The sequence below is a fragment of the Homo sapiens genome, chromosome 13 (genome assembly GCF_000001405.40).
Source record: "Homo sapiens chromosome 13, GRCh38.p14 Primary Assembly".
In the NCBI taxonomy this organism is placed as follows: domain Eukaryota; kingdom Metazoa; phylum Chordata; class Mammalia; order Primates; family Hominidae; genus Homo; species Homo sapiens.
In genome coordinates this window covers 88534746-88558256 of record NC_000013.11, presented here as the reverse complement: position 1 = coordinate 88558256, position 23511 = coordinate 88534746, and the positions used below count along the sequence as shown (strand labels likewise).

General features: G+C 33.6%; 1 long non-coding RNA gene across 1 annotated transcript; it reads right to left on the bottom strand.

Annotated features, from left to right (window-relative positions):
- Positions 1-12747: 12747 nt before the first annotated feature.
- On the bottom strand, positions 12748-17428 carry LINC00433 (long intergenic non-protein coding RNA 433). Its single transcript, NR_047021.1, has 3 exons — positions 16814-17428; positions 16285-16355; positions 12748-12914 (listed from the first exon to the last, which is right to left on the bottom strand). It is a non-coding gene; the product is annotated as a long intergenic non-protein coding RNA 433 (long non-coding RNA).
- Between the last annotated feature and the right edge of the window lie 6083 nt (positions 17429-23511).

Here is a 23511-nt window from a genome sequence, read left to right as displayed (position 1 = left end):
TGCTATATAAACCCCTGATTTTAGTCAGTTAGGGAGGTGGATTTGAGACTGGTCTCCCATCTCCTCAACTGCATCACCATATTAAAGCCTGCTTCCCTGGCAAAACTTATTGTCCCAGCGACTGGCTTCCTGTGTGGCAAGCAGCAGGACCTAGACTGAATCTCTGGCACTTGGTTAACAATATTAGTTTAAAAAAATAGTGAAGTAAATAAATAATTCAATAGATGAGGGAATAACAAAACTAATGCTATTTAATAATATGGATTGGACTCAAAATTTATTAAAGAAATTCTTTCAGAAAACACATGACAAAGGGATGACATAATAAAATTATTTGATATAAAGATGTATTATTGTTAAGAAAGTCTAGGTGTATAAGAAGAACAGAGAAAATCAAATATTAATATGGAGAATTGCAAAGAATAATAGAAACATAAAAGACTTGTGGTTGAAAGGAATCCCAAAATTTCAAACAGAATAGTTAAAATAAAATTCACACATAGTACAATAATAAGATCAGCAAGAAAAAGTTCTTTACAAAAGTTATTGAAGTTCATAGATTTTTACAAGGTAAACAATGTCAAATTAAGATAAATAGTCAAAGAACTGACAAGAAGACCAAAAAATAAGCACTATTTTCTAAGTTCTGAAAAAAAATAATTTTGAATTACAAATGCATGTCTTACCAATTTATTATTAAAACATGAACACCAAATGCATATGCTTTCCAGCATAAAGCTTTAAAAAGTTTACTAAAGTCTATCTTTGTAAAGATTCTTGGTAGATATACCAAAACAAAACAAAACAAAACCAACAACAAAAATAAACTATTGAAAGAGAAGACTACATATTTAAATGAGAAATAAAAATAAGTAAATATTTAGTAAAAAGACTCTAATGTTGGATAAACTTCTTCAGTACCAATTAAGTAATGAAGGAAAAACAGTCAACTAAACAAAGTAGAATTTAAAAGACAAAATAAACTCCAGGCACAGAAAAGATTAAAATGAAAAGGAATGTTAGAAGAATTATACATTAAATTTGGATCTTAGTTAGAGATAACTACTTGAAAAAAATAAAAATAAAAATCATGATTTTTAAACTCTAGTAGGTAGACTTTAAGATGGTCATCATGATCCTTTTCTCTGGTGTTCAAATTTATATGAAAGATATACCCTTGAGTGTGTCTGGGCCCTCTGACTTGCTTCTAACAAATAAAGTAAGACGAACATGATGGGACGTCATGCCCATGATTATGTCATGTTGTTTAAGACTTTGTCTTGTTAGAAAACTCACTCTAGAGATTCTCTTTACAGGCTGGATGCTTTAGACTGAATGTTTTTGCTCCCCCAGAATTTGTATGTTGAATTCCTAACCACCAGTGTGGCTGTATTTGGAGATGAGCTTCCTTGCAGAGCTGTGGGGAAGACTCTGCTACCCCTGTGGTCCTTGAGGGCAGTGCAGCAAATGAAAGATGAGACATCTTTAGCCTTAAGATCTAATGGAATTTGCCTTGCTAGGTTTTGGACTTGGTTGGAAAATATTACCCCCTCTTTCCTTCTGATTTTTCCTTTTTAGAACAGGAATTACTATTCTTTGCCTGTCCCAACACTGTATTTTAGAAGCACATAATTTCTCTCATTTCATAGGTTTACATATTAAGAGGAATGTCATCTGAAGATAAATCATAGTTCAAGTCTCATGCATGTCTGATATCGATAAAATTTAGATGAGACTTTAGACTTTAAGGTCAGAGAGTTAGTACTAAAATGTGTTGAGACTTTTGGGACTATTTGGATGAAATAAATGTATTTTACATGTAAGAAAAACATAGTTTTTGGGGAGCCAGGGGTGTAATGTTATGAACTGAATATATACGTCCCTCCAAAATTTATATGTTGAAGCTTTACTAAGCCCCAGTGTGGCTGTATTTAGAGGTGAGGACCCTAGGAAGTAATTAAGATTAAATGAGGTAAAAGGGCATGACCCTAATCTGATAGGACTGGAGTTTTCATAAGAAGAGACATCAAAGAGCACTTTCTCTCTCCCCAGCGCAACAACCTCTTGTGCACATTCATTCTACAAGGAAAGACCAAGTGAGGACACGGAGAGAAAGCAACCATCTTCATGCCAGGAAGTGAGCCCTCACCCTGCCAGATATTGATCTGGGATTTCTAGCCTCCAAAGCATATATATATATATGTATGTGTGTGTGTGTATATATATGTATGTGTATATATATACACACATATATATGTATATATATGTGTATGTATATACATATATATGTATATATGTATGTGTATGTATATACTATATATGTGTATATATGTATGTATGTGTATATACGTATGTGTATATATATACATATATGTGTGTGTATGTATATATATATACACATATATATGTGTGTGTGTGTGTGTGTGTGTGTATATATATATATATATATATATATATATATATATATTCTGTTGTTTAAGCCATGCAGTCTACAATATTTTGTTATGGCAGTCGAAACAGATTAATACACTGAATGAAAAAAAAAGTAGGTATTCTGAGCAAAGCCCACGTGGCAAGGAACTGCAGACAACTTCCAGGAGGTGACAGCAGTTTAATCCAACAGTCAGAAAGAAACCAGGGCCCCCAGTTTTACTACTGCAAGAAAATGAATTGCACTAGTGAACTAAATGGTTTTGGAAGAAGATTCTTTCTTAGTCAAACCTCCAGGTGAAAATACAATTTGGCCATTACTTGGATTACAGTTTTGACAGATACTGTCAGAAGATGCAGCAAAGCCATGCCAAAGCATCTGGCCCACAGCAACTAAGAAACAATAATGTGACTTGCAGTAAATGCTAAGTTTGTGATAATTTATTACATAAGAATTGATAATACTATAATAAAATCTAATTAATTTATGTAATTTAACTCATAAAAAATAAATCATTCATGAATGGTAAATAAATAATGCAAGTGTATTTGTAGAAAATAAGTATTAATATGTGACTTAATTACTCTGTGTTTGTGTGTGCTAAGCTTACCAATGTAAAAACAGATTCCAAAATTAAACTTAAATATATCTATAAAATATATAGTTATATAAATTTAAAATAAAACACTAAAACTAGAGACATGAAAAAATGATATCAGTGAAAATGGTAGAATAGATAGCTCTAAGGTCTTTTCCCTTCACAGAATAATCCAAAAATGAGCCCAAAACTGTCAGAATAAAGTTTGTTATAATTGCGAAGAACAGTCCAAAATTTAAGCAACCAAATGAATGCTGAATCAAGGAAAAGACAGCTTAATATGGAAGAAAAACTTAGGCACTTTACCTGCTTTTTCTCCACCTTCTTCTTTTGCTCAGCAATTATCTTGAAGATGACAGCATGTTTCCAGTGTGGAATGCCGGTCCCTGGTTCTGTACAGCAGAACTTATACTCAAAGAATTGCATTTGTCTGTTCTAGCCTGCCTGGGGACTTCTTGAAGGACTAATGCAAGACAGTCATCTTTGATTGGCCTAACTCAATATTCACTCCAATTATAAAAGTGGCAGGTATTACTTGAAAACATTTTAAGGCAAGCTAACCAACTGCTGTTGCCTGGGGCAAAATATTACAGTTGAGGTACAAAAAATAGTGCACCTAAAGCATAGGAGGAAATCCTAGAAACAGAGAGTTTCTTTGGGAAACTAGCATTCAAAAGTTTATATGTATAGTGGGGAAGCTAGAAAGTCACATGCTTGCCCCGGGTAGGGGCTATGATTAGAACATGCATAAAAACACTTAAGTTTCATTTCTGGCTATTACATAGATTCAGAGCAAGCAGAAAATAAAGATAAGATATAAAAATATAATTAATAGTCTGGATAAGTGTTAAAGAAATGCCCAGCACAGAATTAATCAGCAAAGACTGGAAGATTTTGTTTACTTCTTTCCTTTTTCTTTTTTCTCTCTCTCTTTTTTTCCTTTCTTTGCTTCCTGGTATTCAAGAAAATCTCTGTGAAAACACTAGCTGAACACAAGCTAAAGGAACATAAATTTCTGGGACCAAACATGAAGGAAAAAACTACAAAAAGAGTTTATAAAGGTGACTAAACAAACAAAAAGCTACAGCCCACAGCAAAGATGGGTAATAATATAATATCCAAATTACCACATTATAATATTCAAAATCTCCAGTTTTTAACAAAAAAATGCAAAGCATGAGAATAAACAAGAACCTATGACCCAGTTAGAGAAGAAATTTATAGAGAATGTACCTTCAAAAAGCAGTCATTGAACTTTCTAGACAAAGACATTAAATCTATTACCTTAAATATGTTCAAGAGTTAAATAAAACCAGAAGATAGTATAAGAAAATATAAACAAAATTATGATAAGTACATAAAAGGGGATAACATAAAAATTTTGGAATTAAAAAGAATAATAACTAAAATGAAAAACTCACTGGTTAGGTTTAACGGCAAATTTGAGCAGGACATAAAACATAGCAGTGAATTTGAAAATAGGTAAACTGAAGTTATGCACTGTGAGAAAAAAATTAAAAAAAAATGAATGAAGAAAAATGAACAGAGATAAGAGCTATAACAGATATCACCAAGCACAACAACACATGCATAATGGAATTCAAGAGGGCAGGAAGAAAGAAAGGAGCAGAAAAAAAAAGACTTGAAGAAATGACAATAAAAAAACTTCCCAAATCTGACAAAAGGAAAATATCTACACATTTAAGAAAATTATTCAAAGTGTAAATTCAAAGCAAACCACTCTGAGACACATTATAGTCAAATTGTCAAAAACCAAAAAAGTTGTTGAAAGCAGCAAGAGAAAAAATTCATTCCATTCAAAGGACACACAATAAGATTAATAAGTAATCTGAGAAGCAGATTTTTCATCAGAAACCATAGGGAGGCCATAGGGAGTAGGATGACTTTTTTTTTAAAGTGCTAATAGAGATAACTGTCAACCAAGAATTCTACATCCTTCAAAAATAGCCTTCAAAAATAAATGAGACATTAAAGCATTACCATCCAGGTCCAAGTCTGCTCTGCCCATGTACAGTAAATCAACTACTGTGACATGGGTATTGCAAAAGAGAGTTTTATTCACAAAACCACTGAGTGAGGAGGCAGGAAAACAGCTCTCAAATCCACCTCCAGAAGATAAGACTTAGGGATGCCTATGTGTTAGGGAAGTGGTGTGGGGAAAGGTGATTGGCAGCGGAGAAAAATAAAGTATCAGGTTTGTTCTACGCAAGCATAGTCAGAGTTCATGACATTTCAAAGGAAATATGTCCAGAAATTGGCAACATTAGCATGATCTGAAGGTGAAGTTTTTGGCCCTCCAATGCCAAAAGGCCACCTGTGCAAACCCAGTTGAAGGGTCCGTGGTCTCAACCAGTTTGAACCGGCCAGAAGTTGGACCAAGTTCCTGAAAGACAACTGACAACATGGTGACCTATGATTGTTTTCTATAAAGTAACCAGTGAAAATTAAGTTTCAGTTTTAAGCAGTGAAAGCTTCAGCTACTTCAGTATTCAGCATCATGGAAAAAAGACAAAAATAATAATAACAACAAGCAAGCAATCTAAAGCAAGCAGGGCAGGCAGACTTGATCAAATTAACCCTTCAGTTTCCAAAGTATTCCCCATTTTTAAAAAATAAATAAATAAAAGCTGAAAGAGTTAACACTGGTAGACCCACACTACAAGAAATGCTAAAATATTTTAGGCTGAAATAAAAAGACACTATGTAATAACTGTAAGCAATATAAAAAACATAAAGAACTCTACTTGTACACAGGTAAAAGTAAAAGCCAGTATTATTGTATTTTTATTGGAACTTCTTTTTTTATTTCCTATATAATTTAAAAGTCAAAAGCATAAAACAATAATTTAGTATTTCAGTAATGGTCATACAATGTACAGTTGACCCCTAAATAATATATTTTGGACTATATGGGTCCACTTATACATACATTTTTTTCAATAAATATATTGGGAAATATTTTGGAGATTTGCAACAATTTGAAAAAAATGTGTGCATTTAAAAATTGTACCTACTTATTCTTATGACTTAGTACTTTTGGGAATTTTATCTATAGAAACCTTTCGAGACATGTTGACTGAGCATTTCTTCTGGAAGGATTTGTGTTTGCTTCTGTCAGTTACCTCACAATATTTAGACCTATTTTCATGCTGTTTCAAAAAGCATGTGGTCTGAGATAACTTGAGATTCAATAATCAAATCACGTGAGACTCTGACAATAGTAATATATTCTCAAGGGAGGCATTTTTTAAAAATTCTACACCCAAAGCTAGGGATGAAGCAGAACATTTCTCTGGCTGTTCAGCCTTTATGGTGGAATTTCTTTTTCCTAATTCATTATTTTCCCAAGAGGTAAGATTGCTTTGGAAATCAATATACATAACATGGTCTTGAATCCAATTCCCACTCTACATAGACCATGGTACTGTATTTCTAGACCATCATCATCTATTTATGCCCCTTAGTATCTAAAAGCTTCAGAATTTATTGTATTCTTTGGACTTAAAGAGCTTCGCTCCTTTCTTTAGTGGATTTGTATATTGTCTTTAGGCTCTCTAACAATATATAAAATCATAACTATTATATTTAACATACTCTTGTATAAAATAGCAGAAGAATATGAGCATCTCTTTCATCTTACTGAAAGCAGAGGCTGATGGTATTCTATATAAGTAAAAACTGATTAAAATAAAATATGAATTATATTTTATCATGAATATGTCCACCACCACTCAAATATTCAGTTGGTGAAAACTGAATTCTGTATTTTGCATTGGCATTCATACAATAGAATATGCTGCATATTGTACGTGTTTTATAGTAGCTTTTAAATGGACTTCAAAAATTAGTATAGTTCTATGGAATTTCATTGGGAATGTAGTTTGACTTGGCCAATTGATCAACAATGCTTCTTGTAAGATATGTTTCTGCATGAGGTTCATATTCATTTCGTGAAAATTAGCATATCTTACTAAATAGATATATGACAAATGGCTAATATTAATCTCCCTGAAATGTACACATAGGTGTAGCATAATTACCATAGGATGTAGTTAACATCTTGTTCTAAAATATGTAAATTGTCAATACAGGAATACACAAGAAAATTCTATGATCCAACATGTCTTTAAAACACGTCATTTCCCAAATTTATTCTTCTGCATTTGTTAGTTAAGAGCATATGTTCTGCTTTCTTAATAGAACCTCAGTAAGCAATTGCAACAGGTAATAACCCAAATGTAAACAATGCTATGATATTGTCTAAATGTTATTACTTCTGAAGAAATTTAAATATCAATGATATATAATATAAATATAATCATATAAATATGTAAATATATTTATATTAAAGAAGTAGTTTATTTTTAGATAAAGTGAGATTTTATTTAGACACCAACAAGAACTTGTCGTTGTTATACCAACAAGTTTCAATGCTTCATATAACTAAATGATTATTGACAGTTAAAACAGTCCTTTCCTCCACTAAATAATCTCATGATAATTTAGGTATATTTTTAAAAATACATTTTTGTGTTCATTTTCCTAAATAATATAATGCTGTTTTACACCTGAAAATCATCTGTAATATCCATTTCACAATTGGATAATGAAGACCATCTTCCAACGTACTGTGCAGACTCTAATTTTGATTATATGTTTTTATTTATGAGCATTTATTAAACAAACATATTTTATTTATTTCTCTATAATTTTTATTCTCTGAATTTCGTGGTTTTATTTTGTAATTTTTCAGAATTATTTCATAATTTTATTTCTGTTTTTTCAATTATGAGTATTACCAGTTATATTATTATTTCCTCAAAACTTTGTTTTATTATTGAAACAACAAATTTTAAAATATTTTCATCTGTAGCTCAGAGTGCTTTTTGTTAGTTTTACTTCTTGTTAATATTACTAAATAATAATATTTTAACTTAAGATGCAACAAGTTAACACTTTTGTCTTTAAATATAACTAGCAGAGCTTAATTGAGTTATAGTTTAACTCACCCATGAATATGTTCTTATTTTCTTTCTGTATTTTAAATATGTTCTAGACTTATTCTGCCACAGGTATTGCAATAGTTATTATTTCAGATTTATCTTTGTTCATTATATGTTTAAGGTATTATAAAATTATCACAACTTTCATCCCGAGTTTATTTATTCAACATATGTTTATTGCCTGATAATATGCCAGGCACTGTTAAAAAGACTGAGGTTATGTTGAAGAGTAATCAAGGTGTAGACATGAGCAGTGACTAAAGAATACAGTTACTGGGGTGTTCAGAGGAAATCAAATGCTTAAGTGCAAACATAAATCTAAGAAAACTCTTCATTTACTTTTATTTTAATTTAGAAAGCATCAATTTCCTCCAAGTATAGTGACATGGTTTTAATAAACTGATATAGAAATAGTTTGGTTAGTTTAATTAGGTTGAATAAAATGTTAAAAGCACTGCACCTCAGTTTTGCTGCCTAATAGCACGATATAACTTTTGCAATATTTCCTAAATTATTCCATAACATAATAGTTAACATTTAGATATCCAAGAGGACTACCATCTCTATCTTTTAGCTTCCAGTCCTTTTTTATGTTCAAAAATATGACACGGTTTACGGCAGTCTATGTGGTTGAAGAGTGAAAGTTTATGCACCATTTGCTGCTAATGACACCAGACAGGTCAGATGTTTTCCACTTTTATTTGCATGGAAAAACGAACACTAGAATGTAGAATAATAAATACATATACCCCTTGAGATTGCATTTTTAAATTACTATGAAGTTCCCTATATGTAAATCAATAAACAATATTTTTAAGAATGTATATTTAACTGTGAGCCATCTGTAGATTAAAAACATTATTTTAAATACATCAATGTATATGCTCCATTGTTGCTTTATTCAGGGTAAAATTAAGAAATCTGTGGGGTAGTATATTTACAATCTGGAGAACTTTTTTTTTTAAATCAGCCATTTAGAACTAAATATAGTCATTAAAAAGGCAAATCAAACTAATGTAGTCAATATAGTAATGCCTATTCTATTTAAATGAGCAATTATTTTAGATTTTCATTGTAGTATAATTTTTACATAGGATCATCTAAATCATCAATATTAAAAATAAATATAGTTACTTCAATAATATTTAAGTAACTAATAAAAAAACTAAGTTATTCTAAAATCAGAAATCATATCTGCAATTCCAATATAGTGTGAATAACATCCAGTTTGTGCAGTAGAATTCAAATAACCACTATGAAGACTTTAAAATTTTATGACTCAGAAAAACTATTTGAATAAATATTTCATTTTTCCAATGAGTTTCTTTAATATCTTGTAGGCATTAGATAAGAGACGTTCCTATTCTTGTTTTGTCTGAATTTAACACTACTTTAAATTTCTTTGCATTGGATTAGCAGTGATTATGAAATTATATAACCAACTTTTCCTGCTATAGTACTTATATATATTTTAATGTCAATCATTTGAAGCACAGCAGGTAACTATACCTTACTGAGTCTTATTGTTGAATACTTAAATATTTTACAACTAAACAAAATATCAATCTCTCTTTTAAAATTCTTAGCATAATGTAAACAAATTTGGACATATTATATTTACTCAGACAGGAAGTACACCTTTAAAAAGCATAAAATATGGATCACCTTTCTCTTAAGATATGAGTAGAATTTTTATGAAGATTGAGCCATTTTATATGTTGATTTTTTGCAGAAAATAAATTCAAATTGGTCTCTGTAATCCTCTATTTACTGGGGATACTTTCTTTTTTAAAATATTAGTATTCTGAATGCCAAATAATAACACTACTGATGTTTTGGGAAGTTTTATAAAGAATATTTATTTATGTCTTGACTTAGCAAAATACTTACCACTCAATCTAAATTTTAGGCTACTCTGGAGACAAGAAAGAATGATGGAGTTTTGTTTCCCTTATACTCAGCATCAAGAAATCCTGGCCATTACATATACAATGTCATTATGTTATATCACATCATGTCATAGCATATCATATCCAGAGCACACGTGTTAATTTCCTGGGGATGTCATAACCATGTACCACAAACCCAATTGTTTAAAACAACACAAATTAATTATCTCAACGTTCTGGATTTTAGAAGTTTTTTATCACATTTCACCTGAACCATAATCTCTCTGAAGTCTCTAGGGAGGGATCCTTCCTTGATTCTTTCTAGCTTGTGTGAATGGCTTGCAATCGTAGTTGTTCCTTGGCTTCAACTGGTATCATTCTAATCTCTGCCTTTATTGTCACATGGACTTCTTTCTCCTCTTTCTCCTTCCTCTATATCTCTATGTTTCTGTCTCTCTCTGTAGTCACCCTCTCTTTATAAGGACTTTAGGTGCTGAATTTAGGGTCCACTCTAATTCAATATTATATCATCTTAACTTTATTACATCTGGCAAAGACTCTATTTTCAAAGAGAGTCATATTCACAAACTCCCACTGAGCAAGATTTTTTGGAGGACCCTATTCAACCCAGTAGATCACATCATATCGTATCATATTATATCTTATAATTTTGTATCATATGATATGAAAGAGATTTTTAAGCAATTCTTGCTTTATTAAAGTGATGAGCAGGTAAACGGTAAGGAACAGGTGTAGGGTTACCTATATGTCACTACTTCAACCTCAGCATTAGTGGCATTTTGGATTGGATGATCCTTCATTGTGCAGAGGTATTTTGTGCTTTGGAGGATGTTTGGCCACATCCCTTGCCTCTATACACTATAATCCAGTACCCACTGGTGAGTTATGACAATCGAAAATATCTCCGGATATTGCTAAATGTACCCTGAAGGTACGATCACCGGTAGTTGAGAACTAGGATTAAAAAACCTTAGATCGTTTCCTCATTTTGCTTATTGGAACCCATTTTACTATTGACTCTTATTCGGACCATTATTCCACAGGAAATCTTGTTTATTTCTTCTTCTGGGCTTATTGTTACTTTGGCATAATCTCTCTTAACTATTTAAACCAGGTCAAAAGAGCATGACTTCTTAAAATTTTACTATGCTCCATAAATTAAGATTTCCTATGTCACCTGCTCTATCAAGACATTTGTGATACTTAAGACAACTAAACTGAAAAGAAAAAGTTCAGAAGAATAATATGTGAAGCTAAAACAAAAAAATTGTTAATATAAATGAGAAACAAAACTATGTATGCCACATGACCATGTTGTTCTGGCTCCAAATTATTTTATTTCATCCTGGCTCCTTGAGGAGACAAATGATCAAGGGTTTGATGGTAATGAGTGGAGTCAGAAAAATGAACTTAGGAAATTTGAATTTCTACCAGTCTTGCCTTTAGTGATGTGCCTGGCCTTGAAAGCCCAGTTTGGCAAGACAGAGCACCTGTTTCTCTGGAGTTGGATGAACATGTCAATTGTCTTTATGTGTTTAACTATTCTTCAAATCTTTCTCACTTTTTATTTTTTTCTAATTTTATTGCCAACCATTTCATACAACTGCCGCATCTTTCATTTAGGTATAGTACTGTTTTCATCTTATTTGAAACAGTAACATCTTTCTATAACCAAATGACATGAGGCAAATATTTAACATGTTATGATGCTTACTATGGTCTGAATGTTTGTATCTCTACGAAATTTACATGTTGAAATCCAGGATTTCAACAAATGAATGGGTTTCATTCACATGAATTAAAAAATTCATATATTATTAGGAGGTGAGGCCTTTTGGGATATGATTAGTTCATGAGACTAATATCACCACGAATGGTGTTAGTATCCTTATAAAATATGCCAAAGGGAGCTCATCTGCCCCTTTTGCCATAAGAAGACACATTAAGAAGGTACCATCTATGAACTAGAAAGTGGCCCCTCACCAGACTCCCAATCTGTAAGTGATCTTGGACTCCCCAGCCCCCAGAACTGTGATCAATAAATATCTATTGTTTATAAACTACCCAGTCCAGTTTATGGAATTGTTATAGCAGACCAAACAAGCCAAGGTAATGCTTCATGGTCCATTTGTATTCACTGTGTGGTTTATATGATTTATATTTTTAAAAGGCTGTCTAAATTATAATTTACTAAAAGCAGTTCTCTGACAAACATCCAAAGTCCTCTTTCCCTAGCCATCAACAACCTAGAACTATGCATTTCCCATAGAAAGAATTAATCTTAAGGCCTGTATTAGCATGAATTAACAATTGAAGAAATGTTCAATATTCCTTATTTGCTAGGCCACAGAAACAAAGGTATCTGACACAGACAACCTTTTAGACATTTATCCCATCATAATTTTCCATCCACAATACCTGAATTGTTTTTGTTTATGTCACAGCATTGGTTCAATCTGCTATAACAGAATAGAATAGACTAAATGCCTTAAACAACAAAAATTTATTGCTCACAGTTCTGGAGGCTAGGAGTCTGAGATCCGTGTGGCAACATGAGTGGATCCTTGGTGAAGGTCAACTTCTTAGTTTACAACATCCATCTACTCGCTGCATCCTCATATAGTGAAGAAAGATCTCTTGTCTCTTCTCTGTTTTTAAGGACTTGAATCCCATAATGAGGGCTTTACCTTTCAAAAGCCCCACCTCCTAATGTCATCATACTGGGGGTTAGAACTTGAACATATAAATTTTGGAGGGATACAAACATGGAATCAATAAAGGTTATACATGAGCAGTCGCTGTATTTGACCCAACAAAACTTGTCACTCATTCTCTGAAACAGGTTTTATGTTTTGCTCTTCTTCCACCCTGTTCACAGTGCTTCAGACCCAGTTTGTAGTACCTTTCTTGGTCTAGGCTCATTCCCTTGGTGATGTCCTCTTGTATTATTGCTTTAAATAAATGACAAAAAACACAAATCATATCTCTATATCAGAGATCTCTTATAAATTCCATCCTCATACCTACAACTGCCTACCTGACACCTTTGCTTGAATGTCTGATGCACATCTCAAACATGACACTAAACCTCTGTCTTTCCCCGCTCAGACCTGCACCATCTTTGGTATTAATTGTGTTCCTCCCATTGCTCATAAAATACTTGGGGTTATTCTTCACATGTTTTTTGTTTTACACCTTACATTCTGTAGATCAACAAGTCCTGTTGGCCAGATTTCAAGAATACACATATGTGAATCACTTTTTATGACATGCTAATAACACCATGGTCTGAGTCATCAGCATCCCTCTCATTCATTAGTAAAATGGCCTCCTATTTAATGTCTCTGTTTCTATTATTACATCTTCAATCCATTCTTCAGACATAATCCAAAGGGATTTGTAGTGAAATATATTTTGGAACTTGCTATTTCTCTGTTTAAAGCCCTGAAGTGGCTTCCTATGTGGTCCTACATAGAACTACCACATCTTATCTGAGTTTGAGTTACATCTTAAAATTGCCTTTGCCTGGATAGATTAAATTTTGTATCTTCAAGATATGATCAGAGTTTGTTTCTCCAAGTCATCAAGTGGCACTAACAATGTGAGAACACTTAAATTATATTCTCTACATAAGCTTTTTGGGGTACCATATTTGTCACGTGGATTGAAATCTTAAATCTAAATGAGCATAAGCCTATGGTTCAAATATTCAAGTGAGTTTTTTTTCCCTTGTTTTATCTTTTGCCAAGATAGAGACAGCTAAGTTTCCTTGCTATAATTTTCAGTTTTTTCGCCTTTACTTTGAGATGGAAAATTACAAGTATTTTTAAACTCTTATTGAATTCTGCTTTTTGAGATTTTGCTTGTTAATATTAAATAAAATAAAGGTACATGTTGAATTTGGTGAAATTTAATATGACACACAGAAACACACACATTCTAAACCTCTGCTCATAGGAAATGCAGTCACTGCTTAGCACACCTTATAAAACCTTTTGCACAGTCTTACATATTTAATTTTTCAGAAGTAAAGGGATACATATAACTTTCTGTGTTTCATTAACATCGTATTTATGCTAGAGACTCCTTAGTTGAGAATGGATCTGGGAAGGCTTAATTTTTATGATTATATTTTACTATGTTTTAAGAGAGTTTGGCACCATTAAGTTTTATTTTTAATCAACAAATGATCTAATTAAATGATGTAAAAATATTTTTAAAGGCACACATATTTAGAGTCAGTTGTTTTCAAGTGGACTGCTCACAAGGTTCAAATTAATCAGCTAATTACAAACAATATTCTCCTATCCACTTGGGCTGGTGAATATAACCAGGCAAGAAGTTTCCTGAACTGGGAAGAAAACCTACATTACAAAGTTTTGATCCTAGATTCAGTATTATGGTGTGCAATATTCAGTTGTATCAAAGCCCTGGATTTCTTGTGCCAAATAAAATAATCATCTAGGTGGCAAATTTATTTGCCATTTATTTCTAATTAATATTGAAAATAATTAGAGGGTATGTTTTATGCCGTCTACTCTTTTAGGCCTGTGTATAACTTTACTAATTATTCTAGCGATACATAAGATTTAATTAAGGAGAAGTCAATTACAAATATTCCACTGTGTACTGAAGAGAAAACTGCAAATGAATCACTAAGAGGTGAATTGGGAGCTGAGTCTCAATAATGTTAACCTTTGTCAGTGAGTTGTCAAGGATTGATAGGCATGAAAGAATAAATATTTAATTTATATTGGTCCAAAATCTGAGTTTCAGTGACTGACACCTGTATTAACTTTTTTGGAAGCAAAAAGGCTTCGATAAGCCAGGGAACATTCCAGAGGTCGGTAGATAGCAAGATCCTTCAGTCTCTGGTGAATAAAGGATAAATCAATGTGTTTCAGATTAGCCATCCCATTTAGGAGTAACTTGGTTCCAGTAGTCATTCTTGATATTTGTTTCTTAATGTATGTTTTATAAATTCCAGGAGCACCAATGAAAGATGCATATACACATTCATTCTTGCAGAATGTCTTAAAACACTCAAAGACATTTTGAAATCTTCTCATGGCCTCCTGGTTGTCCATGGGCTCTAGAATAAGAACCTCTGCCTAAAAAGATTCTTGAAATCTACCTTGCTGATGTACATCTTGCAATGCTGAAATTAGTGTCTTTTTTATCAGTAGAAATCTTCCTAAGATATTGCTCACATACATAATGACAATGCAAATAGACAATACAGACAGTACTTCATTCATGAATATCAAAAGTGTTTGTAAAACTTAATTAAAATTAGCACAAAAGAGATCAAATTACAAAAAGAGTGCAATATTTTTAAAAGTAGAAATCTAATGTTATTATGTAAGGAAGCTATTGGGAAATAGATATATGGGTGTATATATATACACACACACGATTTTTGAGTGTATAATATCACATACTGCAATTAGATATTGATTTTTTCTTTTTATATCTAATCTTTCATATTTTTTTCTTATTATGTCACCCTCTACTGTCTTACTTACCTCATATAACTTCTTGATTTTAAAAAGTAAGTAGTAGATAATCACTTTAAAAGTAGGCAGAAGGCAGATAGGCTTTTATTAAGTGGTTTTAGAAGTTAAGGAGAAATGATATATTTGAGAAAAAGAGTTCAGGACTAACAAATAGAAAATAATGTAGAAAGAACAAGCAATTGGTAACTAGAAAGTCGGGTTTTTCAAGATCAGTATGAGTACTTATTCCATCATGCAGTATATTAAAATTAATGTCCAAAGGACGATCACCTACGATGACTCTCATTCATTTATTTGACACAAAACATCTTAAATTTTCATTTAAATTCTTTTATAATAATATGTCAATTTACCATTCTTGATCCATTCCCCCATGTTTTTCTTTGCATATCTGGCTTTCTGCCACATGGTCAGGTTAAACTAACACTTCTTAGCTGTGTATTTCTCTTTGGGGAACTTACTTAACTTTTCTCTGCCTCAGTATTTTCATCTGTCCAAAGGTGGCAATCTGAAATTATATTTAGTAAGATTTCTGGGAAGTAAAATAGATAAAACATGTAAAATTGCTTACATCATCAGTTCACGATACATATTAATCACTGAAAAAATATCAGTTGGCATTATTCTCTCACACTTGATGCTTTTTATTTTTTGGCACTCCATGTATGTCCCCTTATATATCTCTCTTATTAAATTTACCAGTCTGTTCATAATTTGAAATATTATGTAGTATAGGATCTAATTTAGGACCTAACACATTGTATATGAAGGAAGAAATTAATTACCAGATTTAGAACGTACATACCTGTGCTGGCAGATGCGCACCATATGACTCCGATCTTGTTAAATGTATAGTTTTAATGATTATTTCAAAGCCTGTGTTAATAAATTTAACATGATTATATAATGCATGTTACAAAACTTATATGGTATATACAATAACAAGATACCATACTAAAGCAACATATAGCCAAAGGAAACCTTATTTCTTACTTTAATGCATATTATCCTTGGATTATAGATAAAAATAATTTCAAAATTTGCCCTCTCTGGTTATAATATATAAAAAAAACTATTAGTTGAATTAGGTTAAATATGCTTAAAAAATAACGCCAGTAACATCAAAACATATTCATAATTCTGTGTAATAGAGACAAATCAAATAAAAATTTGAGCCATATCCATGTGAAAATCTGATAAACAATAAAAATTATGCTTAAGAAAAATTATGTTTATTTTTGTGTCTCTGTGTTTTTCTCTTAGTCAATTTTCTGTTACTTATAACAAAACCTTCATAGTTGGGTAATTTATAAAGAATAAAATGTATATCTTACAGTATGGAGATGAGCATTTCAAGGTTGAGGATCCATATCTGATGAGCGTCTCATTGCTGGTGGTGACTCGCTGTAGAGTCGCAAGGTAGTGAAGGGCATCGCATGGTGAAGGGGAGGAGTGTGCTAGCTCAGGTCTCTCTTTCTCTGCTTTTGAAACCACTAATATCTCTCCCATGACAATTCATTAATCCATTAATCCATTAATTGATAAATTCCCTCCTGAGGGCCGTGATCCAATTACCTCTTGAAGGCCTTACCTCTCGATACTGCCACACTGGGGACAAAGTTCATGCAACATGAATTTCAGAGGGAACAAACTTTCACGTCATAGTGTTCTGCCCTTGGATCTCCAAAACTTATGTCTTTCTCACAACTTTAAATACATATACGTTTTTTTCCATCCTCATAGCCCCAAAAACTCATTTCAGCATCAGCATCAGCTCAAAAGTCCAAATTCCAGAGTCTTACTTGTAAACCTCCGAAATTGAGGCAAGTTATCCACTTTCAAGATAAAATGGTGTTACAGGTATAGGACAGACATTCCCATTCCAAAAGGGAGAGAGAATCAAAATAAGAGTAAAAAGCTCCAAGCAAGTCCAAAACCCAGCAGGGCAAACATTTAGCCTTAAAGGTGGAGAACAATCTCTTTTGATTCCATGTCAAACTTTCTAGAACACACTGGGACAGGGGTTCAAAGCCTCAGGAAGCCCTGCTCCTGTGGTTCTGCTGGGTGCAGCTCATATGACTACCAACATGGGTTGGAGCATGGGGCCTGAAACTTTCCTGGGTGGGTGTTGCATGCTGCTGGTGACTCCACAGTTCTGTAGTCCTGTTCCCATGGCTCCAGTAGGAATTGCCCTGTGAGGATGCGCCGCAGTAGCTTCAACCCCATGTTTCTACTCAGCATTGCTTTACTGGGGGCCTGCTGCAGTGGCCCTGCTCAGCTACAAGCTTCTGACTGGGACCACAGGCTTTTGAAGACATCCTTTGAAATGTATGTGGAGGCTGCCAAACCTCCAGCTTTCTTGCTTCCTGCTAGGCAGCAAAATCCGCACCACATGGACACTGTCAAGGCTTATGACTTTACCTTCTGGAACTGTGGCATGAGCCCCACCTGGAGCTGCATCAGCCACAGCTGGGGTAGCCAGGGAGCACTGTGCTGAGGTGTGGAGGGTAGAGTCCTAAGATGGCCCTCAGCTTCAAGCCCAGGAAGAGCAGCTGAGGTCTGTCCCTTGGAATCATTCTGCCTTCCTAGGCCTCTGGGCCTGGGATTGAAGGGGAAACCTTAAAGATATCTGAAATGCTTTCAGCATCTTTGTTTCATTCCCTTCTATCCATGTTAATCTCATTAGCAAACAGTCCTTCGGCTATGACCTTCATTTCCTCTCCAGAACATACTTTTTCATGTTTTATGTGACCAGGTTGAGAGTTTCCTAAATCTTTCTGTTCTGCTTTCCTTTTAATTATAAATTCTGGCTTTAAATTATTTATTTGCTTTAGAATCTTAGTGTGAGTGGCCAAAAGTAACCATGCATCTTCTTTTATATTTTGCTTAGAAATTTCTTCTGCCAGATATCCTACTTTATCCTTCAAAAGTTTGGCCTTCCATAAAACCCCTGGGCGGTGGCACAGTTCAGACAAATTCTTTGCCAGTTTATAACAAGGCTGGCTTTTACTCTAGTTTACAATGACTTATTCCTCAGCTCCATTTGAAACCTCATGAGAATAGCGTTTACTGTCTATGTTGTTATCAGTTTTCTGCTTATGACCACTTCACCAATCTCTAAGGATTTCCAAACTTTTCCTAGTCTTCTCGTCTTCTAAGTCCTCATTAGAACCTAGGCATTTTCTAGCCTCCTCCTCTAAATTCTTCCAGTCTCTGCCCATGACCCAGTTCTAAAGTTGTTTCCACATTTTTAGGTATTTGTTGTCATCAACACCTTACTCCTCAGCACCAATTTTCTGTCTTAGTCCATTTTTTGTTGCTTACAAGAGAACACCTGAAACTGGGTGATTTATAAAAGAAGAGAAATATATTCCCTACAGTATAAAGGCTGAGTTCAATGTCAAAGGGCTACATCTGGTGAGTGTTTTCTTGTTGGTGGGGACTTGGGAATTCTGAGGTGGCACAGGGCATCACGTGGTGAGAGGGCTGAGTGTACCTGCCCAGGTCTCTTTTTCTCTTCTTATAAAACCACTAATGCCACTCCCATGATAGCCCATTAATTCATTAATCCATTAATTCATGAATAGTTTAATCCACTTATGAAAGCAGAGAACTCTTGACTCAATTACTTCTTAAAAGCTACCTTTCAGTAGTGGCACATTGAGGATTAATTTTCAGCATGAGTTTTGAAGGGTGAAAACATTCAATTCCCAGTACTCTCTTTCTCTTGCTCTACATACAAAAACACACAGACACACATGTTTACACACATAAAGGGAACTGGATGAAAGTAATGTGCAGAATATACTAAATAATGACAATAATTTGAAATGAAGAATTCCAAAAATTGGGTATAATGCTGTTATAAAAACAGAATGAATATTATTTTTACTTTAATGATATTTTTATTTAAACCTTTATTCAAAGCATTTTTAATGATTTAGAATATAATAGAAGAGTGTATCAACGTAGAAAGTATTTTAACAAATGCAATAACATCTTAGTTTATATTCTAGTTGAGCTAAGGCATTGGATCCCTTGCTAATATTATAAATAGCTCATTTTTTTTACTTCTTATAATTCTCATCTCATAGGTTCTATTCTGTTTATTTTTCATACAAATATCTTTTACATATACTTAATTTTATGGTATAAAATATAATAATACATCTATTATAAAAATATTCTCTAGGGAGCTATCAGTGTATCACTTTTAGAGGCATTAAGCTGTCATTGCTTGACCCAGACATACTTTATGTGTACCATTGAGAAGACCTATGATAGAAATTACAATAAGAATTTCTTAAATGGATTTTTTACCTTCTCTTTTTTCCCTGTGGCTGTTCATGATTGAGCATTAAGTGCAAACATATTTCTGTTGCCTGATTTTGAATATAAATAAATAATGACAATTACTAATGTTAAGAATTAATTCATTTTTATTTTTTGTTTTTATTTCAGTAAGTTTTTGAGGATCAGGTGGTGGTGTTTACATAAGTTCTTTAGTGGTGATTTGTGAGATTTGGTGTATCCATCACCCGAGCAGCGTACACTGTACTCAGTGTGTAGTCTTTTATCCCTTGCCACCCGACTCTTTCCCCTGAGCCCTCAAAGTTCAATGTATCATTCTTATGCCCTGTGTCCTCATAGCTTAGCTCCCACATATGAGTAAGAACATATGATGTTTGATTTTTCCATTCTGGAGTTACTTCACTTAAAAATTATAATAAAAAAAGACATTGGCATTGATGCAGTCAAGATATAGAACATATCTCTCATCACAAAAAAAGAATTAAACATTACGAAATTTTATACATTAATAATTTGATTAAATATTTTGCTTAAAATAAAGCAAAAGTAGATTTAAAAGTATAAAGTCTTGGAAATATAGAGAAAATATATTGTGTTGTAAGATTCATTTTTATATCCTGCATGTATTTTCATGCCTACATACAGAAATTTTATAGTTTAAAAAACTTTTTCTAACTAATCATAATTTTATTTCTTGACCATCTCATAAACATGCACATAGATAAGGGACAAATATGGTGCAATGTAGGATATCCAGTAATGCCAAATTCAGTTGATTATCTTGTGACCTGCAGATTTGAGTTGTGATTATGAAATCATGAACTGACCATGAAAATTCCAGCTAGAAACAAAAGGAGGGGATAACATTCAGGTGAACAAGTCTATCAATGTGCTAAAATTAGAGGACATTTTTCAGGAGCAAAATAGTTCATTCAGGGATTGTGAATTACAGGTAAACTGTATTCTATGGCCTATTACCCTCTCCCTTATCCTCTCAATCTGGTGTTATACATATGCTTTACTTTATTAGTTTAGCTTTTAGTGGGACTTACAAAACTACTCTTGGCTAATTTAGTTGAATAGTTTAGAAACTATCTATTGGTGAAATATTTTTTGGTTTATTTTAAAAATAAACACTCAAAGCTTATATATGCAATTATGATTTGTCAATTTAATAGTAATAAAATTAAAAAAGTAATAAAAATGCTCAAAGCTTATATTTTGCAAAATTGCCATCGGAGAGCATTACCATCTGAGTTCTGCCTCCTGTCAGATCAACTGCACCATTAGATTCTCATAGGAATGCAAATCCTACTGTGAACTGCGCATGCGAGGGATCTAGGTTGTACACTCCTTATGAGAATGTAACTAATGCCTGATGATCTGAGGTGGAATAGTTTCATCCCGAAACGATCCGCCTTCTCTGTGGAAAAACTGTCTTCCACAAAACTAGTCCCCGGTGCCAAAAAGGTTGGAGACCCTTGCTTGATAGCATATAACACTTCTGATGCTGTGATCATTTTATGTATTAATGTGATTAGGCCACAGGTTTCCTAGATATTTAGTCAGGCCACTATTACGGTTGCATCTGTGAGGCTGTTTGTTGAGATTAACATGTATGGTAGACTGAATAAAGCAGACTGTCTTCCTTTATGTTGGTGTTAATCATCCAAATCAATTGAAAGTGGGAATAGAATAAAACATGTTTGACTCTCCTCTGAGCAACAGGGAACTCCTTTTGCTGAATGGATGAGCTGGAACATGGGCCTTTTCTAGCCTCTGGACTCAAATGGAAACACCAGCACTTGCTGGGTCTCCAGTGTTCTGGCTTTCAGACTCAAATTTGTGCCATTGTCTCTCCTGGTGCTCATTGGACTGGGCTAGAACTACATCTTCTAAGTCTTCAGCTTTCCAATTGCAGATCTTGGGACTTGTCAGCTTCCATAATCATGTGAGCAATCCCTTATAATAAATCTCTTTATCTTTGTGTATATACATTATATTGGCTGTATTTTCTAAAGAGCCTTAATTTAATGCCAATTTTTTGCATGCTTGCTTCCATTTGGTCAGTGCGAGGCACCAGAGGAAATGGGACAGTCTAAGGAATGTTCTCCTTTAGGACTAGCGGTTGTAAAAGATCCTCCACTGTTCCCATGACTTTATTTATAATATTAATTTTTAAAATGTGAAATACATTATTGTAATATGATTTTTATCCACGAATAAAATAAAATGTCATTCACTTAAAAATTATAAATCTGGCCAGACTCAGTGGCTCGTGCTTGTAATCCCGGCACTTTGGGAGGTCAAGGCGGGCAGATCACGAGGTCAAGAGATTGAGACCATCCTGGCCAACATGGTGAAACCTCATCTCAACTAAAAATATAAAAATTAGCTGGGTATGGTAGTGGAAGCCTGTAATCCCAGCTACTTGGGAGGCTGAGGCAGGAGAATCCCTTGAACCTGGGAGGTGGAGGTTGCAGTGAGCTGAGATCGGGCCACTGCCCTCCAGGCCTGGCCACAGAGTGAGACTCCGTCCCAAAATATATATATATATATATATATATGACCAGCAAAGAACATATATATATATATACCGTTTCTTGGCTCAGAGAACTTCTTCTCTGCTTCTCTTCTAAATACTAAGAAATATTCTTTCTAACCACATTGAAGAGGAATTTTACAATGACAGCTAGTAGGTTTTATTTCTGCCATGCTTTTGTGATTGATTTTGTTAAGTTTTGCTTCATTTCCTTTGAAACATCTTTTTCCCCAAGTTGAAGAATCAATATAGCTGCTACAGTTATATATAATTTAATAGGAATAGTAGTTTAAAATATTAACCCATCATAGTTTTTTTTTTTTCTTAAATGCATTTATTTTCATCCTTTCACTAACTAACTTGAGTCATGAGGGTTCTCACCACAGCATAAGGAGTTTGGTGGTAGCTGATTACAGTAGGAAAGATGGGGATATTTGAATTGTTCTTTGCCGGTCCAAAAACAAACACCACAAAGAGAGGCATATTAAATAGTGTGAGGACAGGAAGGAAAATAGTATTGAGGCAGCTGTGTTTGGAGGCAAGAAAAAAGCTTGTATAAATACTCTGCAATTGTCTTGGCACCAGTGTAGCATTGAATGGATCCAAAGTTCTTCAATACACCAACAAAATATAGTAAATATCAGCAAGTGTCATACTGGGGTGATTATATAAGAGATTATTTAGGCAGAAGAAAGTGACCAGGTACTTGAGGGCTTTGTGGCAGTTGGTTCTGGCAAGGAACAAATTTGTGTCCTAGCCATAGTTCAGAACATGCCAAAAAAGAATAAAGTGTGGCCAAGTCATTAGTGGAGAACCATAATGTACAAGCAACTCCAAAGAAGAGACCATATGTTCTCCAAATTCTAGAATCAATAACAGATGCAGGCAGAAGTTCAACACCCAGTAGAATAGGAACCATTGCCCCTGTGACCAGTATAGTCAACACATTGCTCAACTCCAGGATGCCTAGAGTGTATCACAATGTAAAACAGTACAATGTAGAGTACCTAGAGGTTTATAGATCCTGTCTCCTTGATACAAGCACACGACACAAGCTTCTTTAACCCACCATCAACATATATACATCAAAATTCCATAGGGAATAAAAAGAAATCTCAAAGACAGAGATGTCCTTTCTTTTCCCATAAAACTTATATTGATGGAATTAAAAATTGACTC